General features: G+C 39.1%; 1 long non-coding RNA gene and 3 other non-coding genes across 17 annotated transcripts in view; all 4 read right to left on the reverse strand.

The window, feature by feature from the left end:
* The window catches only part of MIR100HG (mir-100-let-7a-2-mir-125b-1 cluster host gene), a 394,543-nt gene that overhangs the window by 115,141 nt on the left and 256,304 nt on the right, over nucleotides 1-23,098 (reverse strand). For 7 of the 14 annotated variants that reach the window (NR_137179.1, NR_137193.1, NR_137180.1 and 4 more), the window contains one exon: nucleotides 12,082-12,163. The exons of 3 other annotated variants lie outside the window; for them this stretch is intronic. This is a non-coding gene — a long non-coding RNA (mir-100-let-7a-2-mir-125b-1 cluster host gene). Of the gene's footprint in view, nucleotides 1-12,081; nucleotides 12,164-12,627; nucleotides 12,903-13,459; nucleotides 13,645-23,098 lie in introns of those variants that run through there. 4 more of the 14 variants (NR_137187.1, NR_137186.1, NR_137188.1 and 1 more) reach the window with 2 other exon arrangements.
* MIRLET7A2 (microRNA let-7a-2) lies at nucleotides 3,053-3,124 on the reverse strand. Its single transcript, NR_029477.1, has one exon. It is a non-coding gene; the product is annotated as a microRNA let-7a-2 (primary transcript).
* Nucleotides 8,634-8,687, reverse strand: MIR10526 (microRNA 10526). Its single transcript, NR_162117.1, has one exon. It is a non-coding gene; the product is annotated as a microRNA 10526 (primary transcript).
* MIR100 (microRNA 100) lies at nucleotides 8,760-8,839 on the reverse strand. The gene has a single exon (NR_029515.1). It is a non-coding gene; the product is annotated as a microRNA 100 (primary transcript).

Here is a 23,098-nt window from a genome sequence, read left to right on the forward strand (position 1 = left end):
TTGAATTAAGAAAAACTTGGTTTACTCCTTTTTCCTAAGATCTTCATAAAGCTCAGAGAAGACAATATGCCAAAGTCAACTTAGAGAGAAGGCTACTGTTTGTCCTCACAAGACTGTCTTTAGAAGTAAATACATTTCTGGTATAAGAAGGGGGCTGCTTGCACTGTTACATGCTAGCTTTAGTATCTCTATTAATAAGCCAATTAGGAAAGAATCTTATGCCTGCTAATTAAGGAGCACAGATGATCCATCTTCAATAAAGTTTATAAACTCACTATTCTAAATGACCAGTCCCCTTAAATTGGGTCAGCAAAACATTCTTTGCTGGATGAAGAAGGTCAAGATGCCAGCAGTGTTTCTACGTTTTGAAGCTCATCAGTGAACTAGGAAAATAGCTGGATTAACAGATTCTGAAAAATTAAAATAACATATGTACCACCCATAGAGATATAATTTCTTGATAAATATGTAAAAGTGTATCCCACTACAAGTTTCTTTTCCTTCCTTTTTTTTTTTTTTTTTTGAGACAGAGTCTTGCTCTGTCACCCAGACTGGAGTGCAGTGGCACGATCTCAGCTCGCTGCAACCTCCGCCTCCTGGGTTCAAGCGATTCTCCTGCCTCAGCCTCCCGAGTAGCTGGGACTACAGGTGCATGCCACCATGTCTGGCTAACTTTTGTATTTTTTAGTAGAGATGGGATTTCACCATGATGGCCAGGCTGGTCTTGAACTCCTGACCTCAAGTGGTCCACCCTGTCTTGGCCTCCTCTTTTCCTTCTTAAACCCTGAGATTAATTCCTAGAAGATACTATGGCCATTTGTCTAAATGATGTATTTGGGATTTATGGGGTTAAAAATGACTGTCCATTACATAAAATTCAGTGAAGAGTTTCCCTGAGGAAATAGAACACATACTCACCAAAGATGAAGACAAGGGATACATTATTTTGGAAAATACTTTACCCATCCACTACTGCTGAAATTCACACTAAGATGGTATCTAAAGTGGCTTCCAACATTATCTATTTTCCTTGCATTCTCAAACTCTTTGTCCCACCATGAGCTATTGGCTAAAAATCAAAACAATGTGAGCTCCTAGACACTACAGCCATTCTAAAAGCACATAAGGCATTATTTAAACTCTAGTAGATAAAACCTCATTACTAAAGTCAGTAGAAATTCAATCCTAGTAAGGTTACTTTGTCTTCAGAAGCAGGGTATCCCAAACACTAGCTTGCTCTTGGGAATCATGGATGTGTAAACCCACTCAGGTTTATCCCATTGAAAAGGAGAGGATCTTATTGTTTTGTAGAAAAAGATAACATGATTTTTTTTTAAAAAAAGAAGCTTTATAAATGTATAAACAGTATAAGTAGGTCCTCATCTGTGTCAAGTGGCTACAGATGTTTAATATACAAACTCATCCAACACAGATACAGGTAACAAGTATGCTTAATGTTAAACTCATAATAAATGTCACAAAGTAATGACAGCATCTTCTAAAGCAAGGCATAGTCCCTTCTAAAGAATGAAAGAATGAGCTAAGAAATAAAGACGGCACAGCAGCCTTTGAGTCTTGCTCCTAGTTCTGCTGCAGAGTACCAGGGTGGTTTCAAAGTAACATCGAACCTTCAGCCGTGCTTCTTTATGACATGGGGCTAGTTATTCTTGACCTCTTAGTAACATGACAATCACTGGTGGTAATTCACCATAAAAATATTTGAGCATAGAATCAAAATCCTGACACAGGGAATTTCATCTTTTCTTTGAGGTAGCTGAGAGAGAGAGAGAGAGAGAAACTATAACTACAGACTGCATAACCATTTCCTTTGACATATTTTGTACATTAAACTACCAGAAAATAATAAAATGGACTAAATACCTCATTATGTACCTTCTGACTACCCATCTGTATTTTCTACTGAAAAGTATCCAGACATGGAACAACTAACTCCTTCCTAATTGACAGATCTGGATTTGAGTGCTGGTTTGGCTGCTCATATGCTCTTTGTAGATTGTGGGATTTCCATCTAAGACAGGTAAAATGTCTGTTGTTCATGACATTGGTTATCACTATGAAATGACCAAGTTTATGCTTTGAGATAATCAATCTCTACATTATTACTATTCCAGTCTTTTGGTATTTTTCCATAGAAGTTTTCATAGAGGTTGGCTAGAGCATATCTCAATAAGAGGGATATAAAATTGCATTCAAAGACCAGCTTAGCCTAAAACCCAAAATGTGAATTCCAAAACATGGCTCTTTATCTTGGAAACTTCCTTGAGTGGAGAGTACAAAATTCTTTTAATTTGATGATATCTAAGAAAGTGCAATACAGTTGCAAAAAAACAGCCCCAATTTGTAATGCCTTCCTGAGTTCATGTCCTTTGCCATGAAACTTTGTAGTAGTGGCCACTCTGCCTTCAGGATTGGCCATGTGGCTTCCTTTGACCAATGAGATATTAGCAAATACAAAGCAGGCAGAAGCTTGTAAGATCCTTAAGTCACTTGGCTTGTCCTTGTTCTTATTCCTCTGCCTTTACCATAAGAATGTGCTAGAACTAATCTGTTGTCAGATGTGACACATAGCACAGAAATTAGCTGCCCCCATCAATCTAGTGACCCCATCTTAGAGCTGACAGCCAGAAGAAATGAGCCCAGGCAAGACCAGAAAACCTGTGTAAATCACAGATACACAGACTCATGAGCTAAATATGCATTTATTGTATGCCACTGAGGCTTTGTAGTGTTTATTATGCAGCATTTTTTTGTGACAATGCTGCATTTTTTGTGACAATTTGGTGTTTATTATGCAGCATTTTTGTGACAATGGACACCTGATATACTGAATCCCTCAAAGCCTCACATTTTTCTTAAAACAAAATCTAACCCGAGGAAACAGAATATGAAAATACAGCATGGGTACAAGGATTAAACAAAACTTGAATTCTAAAATACCATAAAATAATCGTACCCAATCTTACCTTTCATAGGGAGAAAAGGCCTGGAGGAATCATGATCGTTCTCACCATGTTGTTTAGTGCAAGACCCAAGGAAAGCTAGGAGGCTGTACAGTTATCTCCCTTGATGTAATTCTAAACTATACAACCTACTACCTCAACCTGGGAGCATGCAGTCACAATGGCTGGAAAACTACCATTTCTTAAGCAGGGAAATTACAAGTTAGTCTTATAATGATTCATCGTGCTGTCACCTATTTGGGCCATTCATAAGAGACAACATATCAAAGAGTCTGATGATAGAAGAGATAACACAAAAACCTTGGCTTGAGATTACCATGAAAACATGAAGGGAGCAAATACTTGGGACTGGCCTTCTTGAACTATTTGTGCATGGAAATTATAGTAATGTTACATAATGGTGATTCTGAACAATTTAATGCCTTCTGATATCTGTTGACGAAATAGAATAGTAGAACAATATTTAAACTTGGGCAATTAAAAAAAGATTAGAAAAATAAATGTTCCTCTGGTAAAACTGAAAAACTGGAATCACTAAAAGATGGATATATAAGAAGAAATGGCTTAAACCAAAACACAGTGAAAAGACATAGAAAACATGATTCTGAGCAAAATACAGATTAAGAAATACCGCAAAAGCTATATTGAACATCCACCCAACAATATTTATCATGTATTTTACATAATTCTCATATTTAGAAAGTGCTCCTTTTTCCAGAGTTGACTGTTTCAGCATTTCTCATAAATCTGTCCCCAACAGTCTATTCAACAACCTACAAAATGTGCCTATTTCCCTGTTTGCACTTGTAATTTTTTTTTTTTCCAAGACAGAGTCTTGCTCTGTCACTCAGGCTAGAGTGCAGTGCTGCGATCTTGGCTCACTGCAACTTCTGCCTCCCTGGTTCAAGTGATTCTTCTGCCTCAGCCTCCTGAGTAGCTGGAATTACAGGAGTGTGTCACCATGCCCGGCTAATTTTTGTATTTTTAGTAGACACGGGGTTTCACCATGTCGGCCAGGCTGGTCTCAAACTCCTGACCTTGTGATACACCCACCTCATAATTTTAAACTGAATCTTTCTTGTATCTTCAGTCCCAGGCAGGTGCTGGAGCAGGAGATAGGCTCCTACAAGCTTAGCAACTTCTCATTTCTATGTAAACTCAAGTTTGGTCAGGTCTATATTTTCCCACAAGGACTGCTCTGTGGTCTATCAGAAGCCACCTCTCCTCATTGCTTAGCTGGACTCTGGTTTTGCCCAGTAAAGGCTGTGCTACAAAGGAGCTAGGTCAGCCTAGGCAAATAGAGATGGAGGCACATCTGAGCACACTGAGAATCTTCCTGATACTTCTACTGCACTGATCGTGTTCAAAAGACAGATTCAAATGCCATAGCATTGATGTTTCTTCATGTTATTCCACTAGCCTGGAGAAAAGTGATTTTTTTTCCAATGTTTCCAACCCTATTTCCTTATGCTTTGATGAGGTGAAACTGCTTTTTTTGGGGGGCGGAGCGGGGGGGCTGCCTCTGTTAGATCAAGGCTACCTAGTTTGGGAGAAAGACTGGGAGGTTAGTTTTATCAAAAAAAAAAAAAAACTCTCATTCATCCTTCAAGCCTCATTTGAAAGAGTTCTTCCTCTGATTATCTCACAATTTCATATATGCATTTATGCTTTAATTCTCACATCATTGCATTATAGTTTATCTGTTTGTCTCATTCGCTGGACCCCAAGCTATGTGAAAATGGGACCCCATAATTCACCTTTGCCAATCTGGTATTATCTGCAATGGCGAGTAGATGGCACATATAGAAATTTAAAAAAAAAAAAAAACTTTGTCAAATGAAAAGAAGAATATATGCATAAATGGATAAATGGGAGTATAAATGAACTTACAGTTAAGGGATGATCATTTTTATTTTTATGTCCAATCCTTTGTTCTTCCACTTATGTTAGAATTTCACTCATAGTAAGATGGATTTGCTATTAAGATTCCAGAGAGGGCAAAAAATCAGAGTGGCTGAATTCAACCTGGCCGGTTTAACCTTAAATCCCAGATCTCCTATGGAAACTCAAGATGTATTTCCAAGTCTTCTGCTACTAGATGCTCACTTATGTAGAAGATTTAACACTTACTGTGACCAAAAAAGAATATATAATTCATTTTCTTTCCTCTTAATTTGAATTTTTTCATTCACCTTGCAGTGACACTGTGCCTGACTCTGTAAGCACAATCACGATATATAACCCTTATGAATGGGACACAAGGCAGGGGAAGGGCAGTAAGTGTTGACAAAGGAAGACACAACAAAGAGAGGATAAGATCCATGTGCTAGAGTGCTAGTCAATCAGCCACAACATACAGTTCAGAGGGCTTTTAAATACCCAGAAATGGAAAAATTGATCTTTTTCCATGTACGTTCTTATTCTGGGGGTCAAAGATATAAAGATGCTGCTCTTAGAATACTAATGGTTTTCAATACCCTGCTCTTTTGGTTGTGAATTTCCTTGTTTATTTACACTGATTTTAGCCCATTATCATGTATTAGTGCAATTATGGCTCATTACATAATTAGTGTAAATATTTGTAGGCATGTAATAACAACATGCAATTATGATATGGAATGATGTCATAAAAATTCTTATCGAAAAGTACGAGTGAAAAATAAAACAAGAAGTAGTATTTATAGGTGAACAACAGTAGTATATCTTCAGGTAGAGACAATCTATTGTACTTATTAACTTAAAAAAAATCTTCCATACATTCTCTGAACACGTGTAAACAGACTCTCATGCTATCAAACACCGAGGTTTTAAGTGCTGCCAGCAGCAATCCTCCAAACGAAGTAAGGATAAACCTCAAACAATGCTATGAGTGTCTGAGATTAGGAAACAGCAGAGACACCCCATTAGTAAACATATTCTATATTTGATTAGGCATTTGGAAGTTGGACAAATGTTTTGATTAAAACATGGGATTCATTAAAACATGTGTCAGTATGGCTGACACGCAATTCTTCAAAGGGGCCCCTGATCAGATAATTAGTTTTTTGAAGCCAGAGTCATATCTTTGTCCTTTAGCAAAGTGCTGAACACAAAGTAAACATTCATAAAGGTTTGTTGAATGAATGAGAGAATGAAGAAATCATAATTTTTCTAGCCTTACGGCTATGCCCAATGTAAAAAGTGACTTTTTTTCCAATTCATACTTTATTAACTACCATGTTAGGTTCTAATAAATCTTTGAATATCTTTGAAGAGTCATTCACATCGACTTCTCTGTACAAATTCAGTGCTATTACAGGCAGTAGAGGCTTTAAAAATCTTAATTAGAGAGCCTAGGTGGCATTTGATGGGATTAAATACCATAGTCAACAGATAAGGATCCACAGGACCTAACAAATATTGAGGAATGATTCGTAAGCACATTGGAAAACTAAGAAATCATATTAGTTTAAAATTCAAAATTAATTCTATCATACACATACCATTTTTCCCATGTAAAGAAATACATCTATTAATTTTGAAATATAAATAAGAAAACTTCTCAAGCTAAATCTCAGCTTCTCCCTCCTCAAACTCTGATGTTGCAGGGTGAGTTGCTCAGGGTGAGTTGCTTTATCAAATGCATTTCTCGGAATAAGTTTCTTTTCCTGTTTTAAAAAAACAAATCTAAACCATGTCCTGGTATTACATCTTAAATATATTTTGATAGTGATGATTTGAGAAATTTAATAAAACTAGTTTGCTTTATACCCATTCCATTTCCTCCATGCAATAATAGCTGTTGAAATATTTCTTCCAAGCCTTTCTGGGGAAATTCTGAAATTATTTTACTTTCTGCATGATTCCTGTAGGATATTTGGTACACTCTGAGGGAGCCTCAAAGGAATAATTAATATCTACAGAACCATTCATTCATGAACATGGAAGGAGGGAAAAATACTGAATTTCATCATGTAAAATATTTAATATCCTGTTTCTTGTGGCCAATGTCCAGGGGCTTTGGGCTTCCCATTAGAATATTTTCTAACCAGATGAATCAAAGTTTGAAGCCGTTTAGAAACTTTGAAAGGGCCAACTGCTCTATATAATCTTTTTTTCTTGGGATAATGTGTTTTTAAAAACCTCCTTAAAAGAAGTAATCTGGCAGTCACCCACTGGCCATTTTGCAGTCCCAGTATTGTTCCTGTACGGGGAATACTGGGAGCTCATGGTCCCCATGGATCCATGAACTCCACCGCTAATCCCATGGTAGTACACTTAACAGCAGGTTAAAGGATGATGAGTAGAGATGTGATTTTGCCGTTATCAAACAAGTATTTATCTAGTGGAGGTACTGATTTAACTTGCTAGCAGTTTATTCATTCCAAGTTAACCACTTCAAAGAGGCATATAAAACTAACCAAGCAAATTGTTTGCTTTTTGTGTAGATAAAGGCCTTAGGCAAACAATTTATACAACACACACCAATGAGGACAGTCTTTCACTTTGGGTTGTAATATGCCATCATTCTATAATAAAGCAATGCTTTCTTGGCAAGCAGGGGGTTGAGCACCATAGACAACCCTCCTCAGTGCTATGCAAAGGAAATGCATGGAAACAATGTCGTCTTGGTCTAGCAATTACAGAATTCCAAATTCTACCCTTTATACATATGTCATCTGTATCTAGGCTGTCCTAATTCGGAAATGCAAAATCTCATTTCTATATACTGGATAAAAGAAAGAGTTTTAGTTATTCCTGAGTAGGTCTTAAGAGGAGACAGAATTTATCCACTTGAATTTCAAACTTTTCTCTAATGTTAACCCACCAACTACTTCATGTTGACTTTTTTTGTTAGAAGAGGACACACACACACACACACACACACACACACACACACACACACATCTTAAGGGAACTTCTGGCACTATGTTTTACCAAAAGGGCATGCAAAAGTTTTAGAGTCATCCAAATCTGATCAACTTTTCACCCTGGGTTCTAGTTCTGTTTACAGACTCCTCAGCTCACATTGTTGGAATGAAACAAATATAGCCAGTTTTGCTTTGATCTGTGGTCAGTTTAGCTTTTCAATCCTGGCACAATGGTGACATTTAAGAGGCAAGAGGATAAAATTATTTTCATTCCAGCGTTTTAAACAGGATAAAGACTTATAAAACAGCTCTGGCCAAATATGAATTTGGACCTAAACAGGCGATCTCTTTTTTATAAGAAGTCCTTCTTACACTGCTGGATATAAATAGAAGTATAAATAGTTAGGCAGTTAAACACATCCATTCTGATTTATCAGTCCTTATCTTCAGAAGCAAAATTATTGGGGAAATTGGGGGAGGAAGAATTGCAACAAAGGAAAACCCAAAAACCCAAATCACGGTGAAATTGGTCCTGTAAACACATCTGCCACTTTCCAGAAAATATCATAATAACTTTGAAAACAATTAGGCTTACAGAAAACAAAACAAACCCTTGTTTATCTCTTTACTCATCACTCAACAGTAAGTTGTTCCAATCACTCAAATTCTTGCTGCCTCACCTGTAAGCTCAGCCTTCTAATTTGACAGCAGAGACCAGTTACAAGAGATATGGGAATTGAGGGCCAGCCTATTAATTCATCATTGAAGAACCTCATTCATTTCAGGACAAAAGGTCTCCTTCCTCCACCTCAGCCCCCTTTTCCATTTTTATCACTCTTAAAGGAAACTAAGGGGAAGAGAAGGAGAATGAAATAACTCGAAGGGATATTGAATGGCATATAAGCAAAGCCCCAGGTCCGTGAGATTGCCTAACAGACACATACCTATAGATACAAGCTTGTGCGGACTAATACCACAAGTTCGGATCTACGGGTTTGTGGCAACAGGCCTCAATATCTTCTCTCTTTTGGGGCTGTGACATGTCTGAAAATAAAATATTACAACCATTAATCCAATAAAAGAGTCTACCATTCAATTGTTTTATGCCATAAATGGAAAGGACTTCGTCCCACTCTCACAAAAGCAAAAGTTAAGCAATATCTTCTATGTTCTCCCCAACGTGCTTCCCTTGGTTTCCACTTTTTCCACAAATCCAGTGGACTTTAGGTAAACCTCATCATTTTACTGTTTATATATGGAAGACTCATTTATTCACTGCTGAACACATAATCTGGGCAAAGTGATACCAAAATGGCAAACCAGCAGAATAAAGAAAATTCTTTAAATTGTAGGCAGAGAGAAAGAACACATGAGAGCCCAAATGCAAGTCCATTCCTTTAAATACCTGTCATTACATTAAAAATGATGGTGAAATTTTCATTTTCCTATTTGCATTCTGGAAAACAACTAGAATAAACTTAGCAAGTACTACCAACGGATTTATAGGTATATTTTTTTTTTTTTTGAAAACCACTCTAGAGTAGATTTTCAGGTATATTAAGATCCATCTTCGGGAAAAGTTTGCATTTTTGTTCCCACCCCCATCCCATCCCCACACTTATTATTGATTCAAACACCAACAATGAGCAAGTTTGGGTGTACTCTGTAAAATTTGAACCATAGAAGAAATTACATAGTTGTTCCTCCTTCCCCCCGCACCCCCCGCCCCCCGCAATACTGTTTGAAAAAACAGGGATGAATCTGTTTCAGAGACCTTCTTATAAAATGATTGCATTTGTCAACATAACATTTTTTTTCTGCAAAGCCAATGTTCTACATATAAGAAGGGAACATCCAAGACAATGGACTTTCATTAACGACGCCTTTTGTGAATTGTATTGAAGACAGGCATAATCATAAGCACTTCAGGGACATATATTATACAGCTAAATAACTCCCTGTCCTAGATGCTGGGAAACACACATGACTCCATCCCTTTACAGGACCTAAAAAGAGACCTTTTTAACTTTTGTTAGCTATAATTATGGATCCTGGCTCTCAAAATAATTATCTCATTTGCCTCAAAAAATGGACATTCACTCCTTTCTCAAGAATCTGGGGCCAGGCACTGGTGGCTCATGTGTGTAATCCCAGCACTTTGGGAGCCCAAGGCTGGCAGATCACTTGAGGTCAGGAGTTCAAGACCAGCCTGGCCAACAGGGTGAAACCCTGTCTCTACTAAAAATACAAAAAAATTAGCTGGGCATGGTGGCGTGCGCCTGTAATCCCAGCTACTCTGGAGGCTGAGGCATGAGAGTTGCTTGAGCCTGGGAGGCAGAGGTTGCAATGAGCCGAGATTGTGCCACTGCACTCCAGCCTAGGCAACAGAGTGAGATTTTGTCTCAAAAAAAAAAAAAAAAAAAAAAAAAAAGAATCTGGGAGATGAACTGAAGCCCTACCAAGGGGAACAAAAAAAGACAGAGCTGAATTGAGGAATTATTCAGAGAAAAGAGCAGGCCCTCGTGTATGCAACCTAAAAAGTTAAATAAAGAGAACAGGAAACCAACAGTACGATGAACAGAAACTGAGACATAACCATTCATAGATACTTTGTTGTTTCCCCATCTCATCACAAGTGAGCTGTGGTACAATTGCTCAGAGCCTGCTGGTGCTGTGAAGGTTGGCAAAACTGAGAATCTAGTTGTAGCTCTGTGGCTTAATTTTCAGATCCAAAGAAATAACAATAGCAAGTGGAAGTAAGTAGTATCCAAATCAGTCACCCCCAGATGGTCTTTATTTATTTTATTTTAAAATGTTCATTTCCTTTCTAAAATAAAAGACTTTTAAATAAGCTCTGAGCTGCTTCTTTTCCTTCCGTCTCTCTGACAAAGGCATGGGGCTAGAGGTATTTGAGGATGGCCACTTTGAACCCTGTTAAATATTGCTGGAATGTGGGGGATGTAGGTGCTCCTATTATAATGGAGCAGAATAAGCCCAACGTCCCAGAGTAATGAGAATGAATTGTTATCATCACGCTTACTAGAACGATACAATATTTGTTAGCGATAGACTAAGATCTATCAAAGTGGTACACTGAGACATTCAAATAGCACCACTTTCATAAATTTGCATGGCGCTCTTGACCTCCACAGAAAGGAGCTCAATGCTGCGTTTCAGCTGGGGGCAGCTCTCCCTTTCCTTGGCAAATATAGAACAGAGAGAAGTTTTTCATTTCAAATGGTTTGTAGTGTTAACCTCCAAACAATCCAAAGTTTCCATTTTAGAAAATAAAAGAGCAACCAGAAGATACCCAGGCTGCAGGAAAAAAACGAGAAGAAAATCAAATACTGACCTAGTAAAGGGATGGTTTGTTTGGGAGTAGATATTTTTCTTAAAGTATTAATTGAATACGTCCTTTAAGAATCTTCTTTGTGTTGAGGAGGAAAATGAGGGGTTTTTTTCAGAAGAAATTTTGGCTTGCTTCATTAAGCAAGAATCCGTGGGCTCTCTTAGTAATATTAACAAGTTGGAAAATATGGGTTAATGCTGATAAGCAGTGACAAAGGCCGAGTAATGTAACTTATAAAGCAAATATATAATTTATGTTATTAAACATTTTTAGGTGGCATAAAGCCCTTCAATGACACTAAAAGGAAACTGCCTGTATCATGAAAGCTAAGATCAAATCCTACTCACTGAATATATGCATGGGAATAGTTTCATAAAGTGCCATATAGTATTGCCAATCTATGACTAAAGTAAAAAAAAAAATCAATATTGTTATTATGTAATTTATATAAGCTCTATCTTCCAGGAATTCAGAACACATGGTAGGCTTTTTAGAGCCAATCCTGTAATACTTATATTTTTTCATTCAAATGCCCAAGATAGCGACAGAGTTAAGGGGCAGTGCCTGCTAGTTTCAAATGCTTATGATTGCTCAGAGCCTGCTGGTGCTGTGAAGTTTGGCAAAACAGAATTTAGTTGTAGCTCTATGGCTTAATTTTCAAATCCAAAAAACCAAGTGCTGTTCAGTAATAAATTTCTAAAAATTTTCCAAACTCCATAGAGTTGAATGTCATGCCTGCTCTACTCCTTGGCTAGGAAAATTATAAAACTGGTTTCTTTTTTAAAAAATTAAGTTTAAAATGTAGTTATTCTTCATAATTAAATCATTCAAGCATGCCCTAAAAATTTGCAATACTTGAGGAAGCGAAAGGTTTGGGAAAATTACAGAAAAACACCATTACCTGAAAAAGGTAACTTCTTATGTAAAATTTTAAACCTGCTTCCATCTTGTTAGGCTAATATCTTCAAATCATCCACGCGCGTCTGGAAAATAAGACATTTACAATATTTTAAAATGGGTTAAGAATTTTTACTTGTTTTTCAGTTGTTTTTTTTTTTTTTTTTTTTTGCCACCCAACTCTTTTGTAAAGTTGAAAGTAACACTAGAACAAGAGTAAAAAGAAAAACAAAAACTGAAATAAAACTATTTCTAGAAAAACATCGGGAACCATTATGTTTACTTCATTTCCAGAACTACGCATAATAAATAGGTTCTGCAAATAAGTAATTTCACAAATCTTTCCTGGAATTCCCCTGGCTACGCTTGGACCTTGAGAACAATTTTACCAGAAAAATGATCAAATAGGAATGTGAAGTCTCGGAATACTCCCATACTTTTGTACAAATGTTTTATACCAAACCACTCACTTGCTAAGCATGATGAAGAGATAGGCTATCTATGGTTAAGAATAGTTTAAGGAATAATCAATGAATTGGGCAGTGATTACCTGGCATGATGCAGCGCCATTGAGACATCATTTTAACTTTTTTACTGTCAAATGATTCAGGAGTCATTATTTCTCTCGGCTGATAGGGCTGTTAAAAAGAAGCAAGTATCCGATTGTGGTGGACTCATGAGTCTATGCCTCTCCACCACAGCAGGATTCCTGGCTTCCATTCCAGTGTCCTTTCATTGGCCATGTTTTGGACGCGGGGTTCGCCTTCCCTTCATTGTCCCTTTACTAATGGAAGGCGAACTCACAGTGCAGCTGCTTGCAAAAAGGAAAATTTATTTGAGTTTTGCCTGGCTGTGGACTTGAACACTGAATCCATGGTGACATCAGCAGAACGACACCAACGGAAAGATTTCCTGCCCTCTACCCCCCTTCCTTTTTAAAAATGTACGTCTTGTACAAAATCTCAGTGGATCTCCTTTGTCCCAAACAGATGGGACAGTTTGACCAGATAATATTTTTTATCTGGGAAGGACAGGAGGAAGGAAGGAAGGAAGGAAGGATGGAAGGAAGGAGAAAAAAAGAGAAAAGAGAGCGGCACAGAGAGAGAAAAGAAAAAAGAGAGAAAAAGAAAAAGAGCCAGAGACAGAGAAAGGAAAGAAAGAGCAAGATAGAGAATAAAGAAAAAATAAAGAGAAGGAAAAAAAGGAAAGAATAAGGAAAGGAAGGAAGGAAGGAAAGAGAAAGAAAGAAGGAGAAAGAAAAAGTAGGAAGAAAGGAAAGAAAAGAAAGAGAAACAGAAAGAAAGAAAGAAAGAAAGAAAGAAAGAAAGAAAGAAAGAAAGAAAGAAAGAGAAAGAAAGAAAGAAAGCTTGTTCAAATCTAACCTTTGTCGTTCACTCTGACAGTGGGTGTCCCCTGAAGCAGGGGAGACACTAGTGTTTGGTCTCCTACAGCTTTTCAGTTTTTCTGATCGTTTCTCTCATCCTTTGCAGTCACTGGTTTTTGCCAAAAGATCCAATCACCTCAACAAAAGAGGCACATCCAGCAATTGCTACTCCAAGAGTAATTCATTGGTGCCAATTGTCGTGCCACGTTTTATCCACCTGGGACATTGCCACAAGGATATCAGACCACAGAGTGGGAGCAGCGCTCAAGGATATGACGCAGAGGCTTTTGGCATCAAAACCAGTTAGCTTAGGTAGAACTCATTCCTTTTTACAAGGAAAAACTGGCCAGAAGGCAGTAGGGAGCGAGGAGAATGGCAAAGCAATGCCATGGCTTTCATGTTTCTTTCGAGCAAATGGAACACTGAAGATTGATGGATATTTATAATCTTCATCTCACCACACCCTGCCCACACTAAACAATATTTTATGAAAATGATAAATGCAAGTGTGTGTAGATCAAGCAAAGAGAAAAGATGGAAAATGGTATAATAGAAGATAGATCGGATGAAAACAAAAGACACTCTTAGACTATTTGAATAGTGAGCTTACTTTTCTGTAATTAAAAAAATCTTAAACCCACTTAATATTCACTTAAAACAGGCATATAACAGAAATCAACTATTTGAGAGTGAGAAATTGATGGCAAATTCACTTTTGACACACTAGATGAAACAAAAGAGAGACTTTGCCAGTACCAAGTTGTATCGTGTGCGCTGGCTAAGGTATACTACTTTCACTTTTGAAAGGAATAAGTTTGCTCAGGATGACAATTTTTCTTCCTTTTTAAAATGCAAACAATGATGCCAGCCTACAACTTCCTTTCTAGCTATTTTGCTAATAAAGCAGGGGAGGAGAATTGAAATTTGAAAAAATAACAAGACCTTGATTCTGACATAGAAACATCAGACACGTACTTTTAAAAATCAGATGACTGTCATCTCTTTAATAGAAGTGAACTATATGCTATATAAATGCTTCCTAGACACCAGCCAACTTTAACACTTTCTGTTCAAAGCTATGTTTTGCTCTTGAGAAAGTATCTCACAATTAGATGAGAAAGTGGGTGGATAGGATGGCTTGGGAAGATTTGAAGATTGAATCCTGCAAGAAAAGAGATACATAATATGTAAAGAGTGAGTATTTCTTGAGGGTTTTGACCGCATGACAATGGAGTCTTGTTCTGGGAAAGTTATAGAGGAGCCTGGAACGTCCAAAATGATACTTATAAAAAAAAAAAAAGCAACCTTCAAACCCAAGAAAAGATGTTCAGCTGAAACAGAAAGACCTTTTTTCTTACTCCAGGGTGCAGATCCACTCAGAGGAAAAGTCACACACCCCTGTCTCTCTGCATTTCACCCAGCAGGTCAGCGTTTCTCCACCTAGGGCTCTCCATGTCTATTGATTTCCACATGTCTCTCTTTGTTTGGAACAACAACCAACCAACTAGAAGACGATTTTATATACTCTTCACCAAATTGAAGTTGGGAAAGAAAAAAAGTATTAGACTATTTTCCTTACTTCTCGCTCTCAACTTGTCCCAAATATTGATCTGGTTATTTTGCTTTCTAGCCCTCCATCAACCTCCTAACTCTTTCTCTCTCTCTCTCTGTCTCTCTCTCTCTCTCTCTCTCTCACACACACACACACACACACACACACACATACATACATACACACACACACACAACTGCTGCTTGATCCAATCTGGTGCCTGCTTAACAACAAGAGAATGACAAGCAACATCTGTTTGTAAAAGAGCCAAAGTCAAACCTTAACGTTTTTTTGGCTAGGTTTCTTTTTTCCTTTTTCCCCAGACTCTAAAATGGGAGGGGGCAGAAAGAGAAATATGAAGATTTATATTCAGCATCGGCTCCAATGAGGCAGCATCTATACTCCCCTAGAGCTATTTCAAGGTAAAAACAATTTTAGGTAAAACCACTGCAGAATTTATGGTCGTCTCCCCTGCAGCAAGCCCAGCCACATAAAATCCAACATATCAAATCCCTAAAAGTCAGGATTTTTTCCTAATAGCTTTATATTCATCTTCTAATTAGAATTACAGGGTCTTTGTGTTGGGGGAGGGGTGGTAGAGATAGAAAGGGAGGAGGGTAAGACAGAAAAAGAAAAATAGAGAGGAAAGGAGCGCCGTTGTTCCTCCCAGATTTTATAACCCAGGCGTGTAACAGGCATATTTACACTTGTGCCACGCACAGGATCGTGCACTTGAAGCAGCAAGGCTGTGGCAGAAATCTGCACAGCTGTAGCCATCAGAAACAGGCTCGCTCATTCCCCCACGGAGAGGTGGTTTTCTGGAAAGCTACCAACAGACCACAAAGTCACAATGCAAAGGATCAGAGCTCCCTCAATGGGAGGGGCCGGGGGTGGAAGGGAGGAGAAGGAGCTGGTAAAAAAGAGAAAGCCTCACTCACCAAATGAAACAATTTTGCCCCCAAAGAAGGGAAATAGGGGACTGTCAGAAACTCAACTCCCATTTCACTCAGGGTTTGGAATAAACCCACACACATTAAGGGAAAAATAAATGCAGACAAGTTGCTAAGGAGACTTGTGTAAACTCCAAGCGCAGACATATTTCTTGGCCTTTCCCCCTACGCTCCATCTTGTATTCTGATCACGCTGCTCTGCGGCAACGTTGCACCAACCTTCTGCATTAATCTTGGCCCTAACCGTGCATTCTGGCAAAGCACACGGGTTGTAGATATCATCATCTTTCAAACTTAACAAGTTAAAAGGGTGTGTGTGTTTGTGTGCATGTGTGTGTGTGTGTGTGTGTGATTAGTTGGGGGGAAAAGTAGAGAAATCTTAATTTGGATTTTAAAAACATAGGTGTTGAACAAAGAATATTTACAGTGCATATTTTGGGAGCAATGGGGAAAGGATAGGTAAAACATCTAGCACTGGAAATTTCCTTTAGTCTGTAGATTCCTTCATTTCTCCATACCCCTATACTTTTTCCCCCTCCCACATCTTTGGTTAAAATCCTGTGCCCCTGGCAGATGCAAGCAGAGCCTGCATCACTGCAGATGACAGTGTAGGGGCCTAGGCTTCTGCAGAAAACAGTGCATTCGACAAAGTTGAATCCTGCTCCCCTACTCAGGGTGTCCCAGAGAGACCAGCTTTTTGAAAACAAAGGGGGTCAATTCAAAAAAACACCTAAACCAAACCTGTTTAGGTTAGAAACCAGCTAGCATTTTGGAGGAGGGATTTCAGCCTGATGTCCACCCGCTGGAGCTGAGAGCTTGTCCCACAGTGATACATCTTCAGTAGCAGCTGATATATGTCAACATTTGATTTAGAAGAAAATTAACATTTTCTTTCAGGACAGGGATGTTTGTACTGTAGAAGCCAATATTTTCCTTTCTCAGCCTCTCGTATTAGAATTTCTAAAATCTTCCCCAGGACAGAGAGAGGGCAGACAACAAATGTTCTAAATAATTGCTCAGAGCACTGGAGCAAACTATATGCCCCCAAATCAAATCTGTGTGTAGGTTTACATGTGTGACTTTGCATGTTTGCATGTGTGTGTGTTTACATGTGTGCACATGTGTGTTAATGTGTTTGTTCCTTTGTGTCTCCTCTATGTACGTGCGTGCATATTTGAGGATGTATGTTTGTGTGTGTGCAAGTGTGTATGCTTATGTGTGTTTGTGTTTTTGCAGGTGTTTGTGTGTATGTGTGCATATGTGTGTTTGTGTGTGTGTGCTCGCATGTGTGTGTACTTGTGTGTGCGTGTGTGTGAGTGTGTGTGTATTTCCCTGCCTCGCTATGATAGTGGGATTAGTGAGATGCACACCAAGGCAGTTGGAAGGTGAGCCATCTGCTCAGTCCCTTCTCAAATTAGGGAAGTTCAAAACATTTGCCCACCAGCCACAACAGAAAAGCTCCAGTGACGAGCACCCAATCGAGCCTGCTGATTTAGTTGCAATCCTTGGACGGGTGGCCATGGGACAAGATCCTGGTGAAGGGATGGGAAAAGTCTTTGCATTCTGCAAAGGGCTGGGTGTGTCTCTTCATGCTCCAAGAAGGCTATGCATCTTCCATCTCTTCCCTCTGCCAACCTCTATTTGGTTTTCACACTTCAAGGCTAAAGCAAGCTGTGCTGCCTCAGTTGAAATAAGGCCGCCAAGCAACTCTTAAGCTAGCAAGATGGAGATTTGGCTCCCGCCATTTGCAGAGAAAGGCACTGTCCTGTAACTGGGCCTGCTTGCCTACCCTTTACACATAGGAGCCCTCGATTTTAGGGAAGGGGACATCATTGGAGTTTTTTATGACCTTTTCCCTACAAAGCATATCCTCAGATGTTTTATGGCACTAAGCCATCATGACTCAATCAAAATGAAAAATGAACCTGGAGGGAGAAGCTCAGGGTGGGCATATCTCAGCAGGCAACTGGGCAATTACCCTGTGACCTGGTTGGCCTGGGGGCAGGGCAGTGACACCTGCATTTTTTCATTTGTCCATGAAACTGCAGTAGCCTGAATCCCAGGATATCCTGCCTAGGCACCTGTTGGCCTATTTTTCCTGCCTGCTGGGATTGAGAGAATTGTCTCACCCTAATGTGAAGACATATTTGTTAGGATACTGCGTGATTCTATATGATCAAAGAGAGGAAGAACTAATTTACAGGATCAATGCAACAAATGATCCTAAAATAGAGGATTCTTTCCCATGTAGATTGCCAAAGAAAATGCTTTCTATTGTAAGTTGGCTCACTGCTTTCTCAAATTCTCTAAAGAACAGAAAACACATGAGACACCTTTCATTCTACCACCACCTCCCCTCCCTCCAACCTTACCAGTTCTTCGTGGAAAAATGAAAGCTATTAGGAAAGAAACAAGCAACATGGCTAGGCCAGCCTGGAAGGGAGACTGCACCAGACACATAAGTGCATTTGGATAACTTTCAGATAGAAAAAATATAGTTTTAAAAAACATACTGGAAAATCCTTAAGAAGCTTGTTTTTTTGTTGTTGTTGTTGTTGTTTTTTGAGATGCAGAAGGAAAAATAACCAAATTAACAGTGGCTGGAAAATTAAAATGCTACCCAGACACATCTCAAAGAATAAAGTAACACAACTTCTATTTCCAACAGGGGTATTGGGACATGTTTGCATATATGTGTAGATTTGTAAGCAGACTCAAGTACTTGTCATCCAAATCTCTCACTTCTAGCCTTGAAGTGAAAGAACACATCTTTTTCACATTGTGTAAAGTGACCTTCCTTTACTCCACCCTAAAATTCAGTTTTATACTCTACATACAGGTTAAGGAACAGAATGTTCTACCTCCATCGTTTATGAGCTAATGCTCCAGATTGTGAAATGCTTTACACATCATTCAGCAATTGTCTCCCAAGTCCAGTTGGTATTATCACTCCACATTGCATAGAGAGTTGACATAGAGGAAAAGTTAAGTGTCTTTCCCAAGCTCGTATATTATTGTAATGACAGCTTTAGAATTCAGATTTTTCTCCCCTTTTTAAACTGGTGAGAGGGTTCTAGGTCTGGCTGAAGGAATTTGGAGGTGTCCCTTCCCTCATTCTGCATTGTCAGTCAGCTGTTTTGTATAACATGTAATCCCAAGGTATAGAAAACCCCAGCCATGTGGCCTTCAGTGCTGCCATCTTGGGTGACCCCAAAGAATAAGCAACCAATGGCTCATCTTGGGGACTGGCATCAGAGATAAATTCAGGTTGAGAATGGTCTCCAGACATGTATTCTACTCATGCCAATCCATTGGCACGTTTCTGTCATTCTGATCATAAGCAACAGATGACAGGCCTCACTCACAATTCTGCAAAATGGTTTATACTATCTAGACTAAAACTAAAGCCCATCTTTCCATTACCTGAGTTAATTGTCAATGCTCTCCGAATTTGTATTGTTTTTATACATGGACAGGGTTGAGGAGAGGACAAATTCAAGATTTGAAGAGAGGGTATCAAGTACAAAGTATCCTATGTAAAATATTTATGTTTTCTATATATCCACAAGTCAAGTGGTTATTAATGTATACTTAAAAATTGCTAGTGTCTCTCGGGGGGCATTCAAATGGTTAAGATGCTATTCTTGGGTAAAATTAATCCATAATATAATTACATCTGTATTTTCATCTTACATAAATAATTTATTTCTGACATTTAATGCGAACCAGACATCACCTCATGGATGGCTCATAGAAGCAGGGTCATATTTCCCATTTCTTTTGGTGTGGTATTTTTGGGGTGGTAGGCAAGAATGGGTGGGGTAAGTGGAAAGTCAAATCTTGACTCGCATCTAAATGATTTGTAAACAGAAAAGGCTGGGAAAAATCACAGATGCAGTCCAAAACTCCTTCTGCAGACATTTTAATCGTACCATGAGAAGTTGAGATGCCACCATTTTTTACTTTTATTTTTAAAAATTAAACCACTTACTCCAACTCTAATGGACTGATTGGGGCTTTTTGGAAAGTGAGAAGTATTCTGAAATCATGTCTGATCTTGGTAGGAAAGAGTTTTATAAGCACTTAGTAAGTCATCACTGCCATGGGGGAAGAAGGTTGATGATAAAATGTAGACCAAATATTTGCCATTCCTGGCTGACCCCAAACTTTTTCTGTATTGGCAGGTCTTTATCTTTCCCATGACAATGGGAGAAAGCTATTCAGCAGCTTCTCTGTGATCAGTATTTGGATTCCTGAGAAGAATATTTTTATTATTATATCATTTCTGGACATTCTTGCTAATAAAGAAGGAGTTCAGGTTGATTTTTATCTTGCATTAACCAGGTCTGGCACATTTTATTCACATAATCTTTAGGGCACAATCTAAGTTACTAGAGCAAGGTAGAAAAAAAACACAAAATAATTCCCATCCCCTTTTACCCATCACTGGAAGATACAAACCTGCTGATAGCTAAGCCTCTGTTAAAAGCAAAAAATCAAGAAAAAGAGAAAGTCTGGTGCAGCCAGCACCCTCAAATCCATTAATCCTAAGTCTAATTCTCTTTAGAATCTAAGTAAGACAATATATTTTACAACAAAAACCTCTCTCGGGCCAATGCAACATGACAAGACTGGCATGACTATTTCTTCTGGGAAGACTGGGAAACAAACTCTTGGTGATGAGTGAGGGCAAGCAAGGGCGAGAAGAAGCCATTGTAATGAGCTGTGGATGCTTTCCATCTTACCTTATTGACTTTGCCAGGCTCCCTCTCGCTACAAGGTTAGACAGCTATGGCCGAATAGGACATAAAAGTAGCAGACTTGCCCTTTATTTAGGACACTCAGCCACAAACAGAGGCACCAGAAGACCTTAGGCCCTAAGGAAGCTTTATCACTGTGAACGAGGTCTCACTATAAATTCAAAGGATCACTAATGGACTGCTGTTCCTACATGGAGGTGAAGCCTCAGTCTAAGGTCCAAGTAATTCAAATAAAAGTCCCTTTTCAGATACAGATGCCTAAAGGCACCACATTACAGACTCTCTCACTCCTATTGATCTAGATTTCTCTGCTGAACTCATATGGTAGGCCATGAAATCCACCTTCCCCAGAGACAAGGCAGTTGGGTATTGATTCCAACCTGCAGGGAAACCCACTCTATTTCCACATTTCCAAGATGAGGCAGAGGACGCTTTCTTCCCCTTAGCCCTCAGGAGCTACCATAATGGCCCACAGAGATGGAGACTTTCCAGCCATTGAACAGAGGTCATCGGTCCTTTTTATGAGCAAAATAGATAGGGCTCACAGGTCCTCATGAAGTTGGACCATCAACTAGTTCATCCCTCTGTCACCAGCGAGGAAGAAAAATGTGTTCTCCAGTCCCTCCCCACTTTCAGTACATTTGGTAAATGAACAGGAAGGGTCAGGGCCACCAGATGTTTTTCAGTGACCTGTGTGCATGCAGCCAGGGATTAAGATCAAGTTGCTGATGAGTTTTCCTGGTGGACCTGGAGTCCCCAGCAAAAGCAATGACCACAGGAGACAGGAGCCCCTACCTCTGAGGTAGGAATTTTCAAGGAGACTTAGAGGCTTGACCTCCAAAGGGGAAGCCTGGTTGGAGATTACAAATAAAGTACAATAAAAACTCTGTCTGGAACAGGTTTACATAGAATCCCCTGGGTAACAAAAAATTATGAGAAATTCCATCCAGGAGTTGAGCTGAGCATCAGAACCTTCATGTCTGCACATCTGTAAGTCCTATTAGTGCTTATAAGATCGACTTGCCCCTGGATAGATTTGGGAAATGCAGTTACCCTGAAGGGGCCATGACAATATGAGAGCTAACACATGGCTGCCTCAAACCTCTCCTCAGAGCTTCCTTTCGGGGGATATGAGCAAGTAGATTGTGAGCTCCAGGGTACCCCCATCCTAAATTATCACCCCCCCCATCCATGTGCAGAAGCGTAACTGCGTGTCTCCCCAGCAACTGCTTAGTCGATGCCAGTTTGCAGGTAGAGATGCTGGCATTTTACTGCTGAAACCCAGAGCTAGATTTTCTTCTTAGCAGTTCACAGCCCCTCTAGACCCATGGCAGACAAAGGCATCACCAAATCCTCACTAAGCTAACATAAAAGCCCTGAAAACAGAAACCCCTCTCTCTCTAACTGCCTTTCTTATAACATATGGCCAACTGGCCTCACTAACGCTAATACGACGAAATTCCTATTTAAACATCCTAGCGGAGGGCTCTAATATGGCACTGTCTCTACTGTGCATTTTCTTTCTTTTTTTTTTTTTTCTGTTAGATCTCTGCCTTTACTAGATTCCCACTTCCCTGCACACACATACCTCACAAATGGGCTGCGCCAGATGGACTCTTAATCATAGTAATCAGCTGGGAAATTAAATGTTAGAAAATCCAGCTAGTCTCCTGAATTTTCCCACTTGAGATTAGGGCCTGAGCTGTCACCATGTCCTATATGAGACCCAAGCTGCCTTTTAAAGAAGGACCAATGTGACAGATCCAGTATGGGCTTCATGCTTTATGGGTGTTTGTGTTTCTTTCCCGGAAAATGACTGCAGCTCAATTCAGTTTTGTTTCAGTTCTGACGGCTGCTATTAATACCTCCTATTTACAGAACACACACCTCAGAGGAGCTCAAAACATTTACAGAAATTAACCAAGCCTTGCAACATCCTGTCAAGTATGCAGGGGCTAGATCTTACTTTCTTCATTTCAGAAGAAGAAACTGAATTAAGAGGGCAATTTTTTTTTTTTTTTTTTTTTTTTTTTTTTACCATGCCACAAAGACAGGACCTCATTACCCCCTCATTTCTGGTGCTCTGCCAAATGAAGTAGGTGTTGTTGTTTTTTTTCATAGTGTACTCACCAGCTTGTTATGCTAGTATTTTTCAGACACACACAGGCACACATCATGATGTAAAATCCTGATGTGCAAATACGTCTTCTTTCTATAAATCTCCCCACAAGTGTTATCACAGGTTTCCTCTAGTAGGTGATCAGTGAGTATGATTGATTGGTTTGCAATAAACCTAACGTCTTTAGTTTTCTCCATCTTTTCCCAGAAGGCTCCTAGATGCTGCTCAAATGTTGCTTCCTCAAGTGACTCTGAGG

Source organism: Homo sapiens, chromosome 11 (genome assembly GCF_000001405.40).
Source record: "Homo sapiens chromosome 11, GRCh38.p14 Primary Assembly".
Taxonomy (NCBI): domain Eukaryota; kingdom Metazoa; phylum Chordata; class Mammalia; order Primates; family Hominidae; genus Homo; species Homo sapiens.